This window comes from Homo sapiens, chromosome 12 (genome assembly GCF_000001405.40).
Source record: "Homo sapiens chromosome 12, GRCh38.p14 Primary Assembly".
In the NCBI taxonomy this organism is placed as follows: domain Eukaryota; kingdom Metazoa; phylum Chordata; class Mammalia; order Primates; family Hominidae; genus Homo; species Homo sapiens.
This window is the reverse complement of record NC_000012.12, coordinates 6,963,198-6,965,326: the sequence shown is the minus strand read 5'-3', so window position 1 is coordinate 6,965,326 and position 2,129 is coordinate 6,963,198. Positions and strand designations below refer to the sequence as shown.

The 2,129-nt window shown below is 58.9% G+C and overlaps 1 long non-coding RNA gene and 2 other non-coding genes across 3 annotated transcripts, besides 1 other annotated feature; all 3 read right to left on the bottom strand.

The window, feature by feature from the left end:
• Positions 336-385: an enhancer, noted in NCBI's record as "active region_5910". NCBI's record gives its function as "activates an Ori minimal core promoter by ATAC-STARR-seq in GM12878 lymphoblastoid cells {active_cell/tissue: GM12878}" and the evidence as "EXISTENCE:reporter gene assay evidence [ECO:0000049][PMID:35858748]".
• Positions 880-2,082, bottom strand: MIR200CHG (MIR200C and MIR141 host gene). The gene is made up of 2 exons (NR_135032.1): positions 1,979-2,082; positions 880-1,126 (listed from the first exon to the last, which is right to left on the bottom strand). It is a non-coding gene; the product is annotated as an MIR200C and MIR141 host gene (long non-coding RNA).
• MIR141 (microRNA 141) lies at positions 1,136-1,230 on the bottom strand. Its single transcript, NR_029682.1, has one exon. It is a non-coding gene; the product is annotated as a microRNA 141 (primary transcript).
• MIR200C (microRNA 200c) lies at positions 1,561-1,628 on the bottom strand. The gene has a single exon (NR_029779.1). It is a non-coding gene; the product is annotated as a microRNA 200c (primary transcript).

Below are 2,129 nucleotides of genomic sequence, written 5' to 3'. Positions count from 1 at the left end.
TGGGTAACTGGCAGCAAGCATGCGCACGTTCACATGTGCGCTCCTGGGTCTGTCTTTGTGTGTGCCAGCAGGGGGCGCAAAAGAATCTGGCTGGGGCGGCTAAGGGGAAGCAAGGCCTGGGCTCCGAAACAGGACCCAAGCTGGGAAGGCTGGCCCTGAGTTCTCGAGGCCCAGCTGTGCTCTTCACACACCCTCCATTTCTCCCACATCACCCATTTTTTTAAGGCTGGACAGCCATGGCTTTGCTGAGCCAGATTAAAAATCTGATGACCCCAACAGGAGCTGCTTCCTTGGCAGCAGGGTTCCTTGTGGCTGTGGGGAGCCTGCCTGTGCCTGTTGAGGCACTTCTGTGCCCAGAAGCCCAGTGGATCGCGTGGCCTGCTGTAGGCCCCCCAGACTCCATTTCTCAGTCACCAGGCGTGAGGAGCTGCTAGCTAACAGGCCTCCCCTGGGGAGGTGGGCTTTTCATGCCCGCAGTTCCGGGGCCAACAGAACAGGTGCCTGTCTGTTCAGTCCACAGATAAGCTGACACTTATCTTCCCAAGACAGGCCTTCCCGAATCTCAGGCACCAGAGAAACAGAGCCACCGTTTATACCTGAATCTCCCACTACTGCCCATTTCCCATCCCTGCGGGGAGACAAGGAAGATGTGGAACTCAGACAAAACATAGGTGCAAAGTATGTCCAGGAACTGCCAAATGCAGATAGGGCAGCAGGTGGATCTGAACAGAGGGACTGGGTTAATCTGCTTCGATTTTTAAGATATTTTTCTCTGCTTGGGGTTGAGTATCATGAAAGACAAAGCAGACGTCGCAGCCCCAATCCTGAGTTGCTGGGAGGCTAAGATGAGATAAACAACTAGACAAAAGACAGGTCAAGTGACTTGGATCAGTCTTCCTCATGTTCCCCTTCACACTTTATTTATTTCATGCTCCCAAGGCGGGAAGACAATGGAGGTGCCTAGGGAACCAGTGTTTCCACATCTTGCTGCAGCTGTAAAGGCAGCCATTTTGTCTCCTTCCCATTGTTCCCCTTTGCCTAGTGATTCGTCCCCCATCCAGAGGGGTGAAGGTCAGAGGTTGTTGGTCAGTAGTCCTCCATGGTCTTCAGGGCTCCCTGAAGGTTACTGCCGAGAGAACCCACCCGGGAGCCATCTTTACCAGACAGTGTTAGGAGCTTCACAATTAGACCATCCAACACTGTACTGGAAGATGGACCCAGGGCCGGCCGACAGAGAACTACGGTGCGCGCTCACCAGTTGCTACAGGGGACCCTGGCCACAGGCCAGGTGAGGTCTCTTGAGAGGGGGCGAGCCAACCCCAAGCTCAAGGTCGACTGTGGGTTCTGGATCCACCAGGTGACAAATCGCACTGGGTGGGAGGAGGGGCTGGGGCCCATTGTGTCCCTTAGTGGCAGCCAGCCAACAAGAACCACCCCTTGTGCAACGCTCTCAGCTCAAGACGAGGGGCTTCCGGGGTGCGTGGGAAGTGGGGAGGGGGCTGCAGCCAGCTAAGGGCTGGGGACCTGAGGCGATGGATGTTGCTGACACAGGGACAGGGGCCTCCATCATTACCCGGCAGTATTAGAGACTCCCAACCGCACCCAAACACTGCTGGGTAAGACGAGGGCCCCCGCCCAGCCCGCCCACCTTGGGTCAGGCAGCTTCAGGCCCAGGATCCCTGCGGAAAAGCTGCAGATCCCTGGCTCCCATCCCCCCACCACCCGAGTCCCTGGGGACACTTCCTGGTGAGCCCTGCTGCCCGCCACCAGCCACACCCTGGGTCGCTGATCACGAGGCCCAGGTTGCAGTCCAAGCAGGCCCTCCGAAGCCCCTCGACCGTCGGCCCGCCGCCTCTGAGCCACCTTCCCCTACCCCCGGCAGCCTTTCCCGACCCGCGACACACACCGATTTACCCACCCTCATCCCCCCTCTGCAGTCCCAAGCTCAGCCCAGGACCTCTCCCCTGGTGGCCTTTACCTGTCACCGGGCCCACCTGCCCCCAGAGAGTGGGTGCTGGGGAGACGAAGGGGCTTTAAGGCCCCAGATTCCACGGCCTAGAGCCCGCCCTGGCCTCCGCTCTTCCTCCTTCCTTCTCCGCCTGCCGGGCAGCCAGCGCAGGCTCCTTACC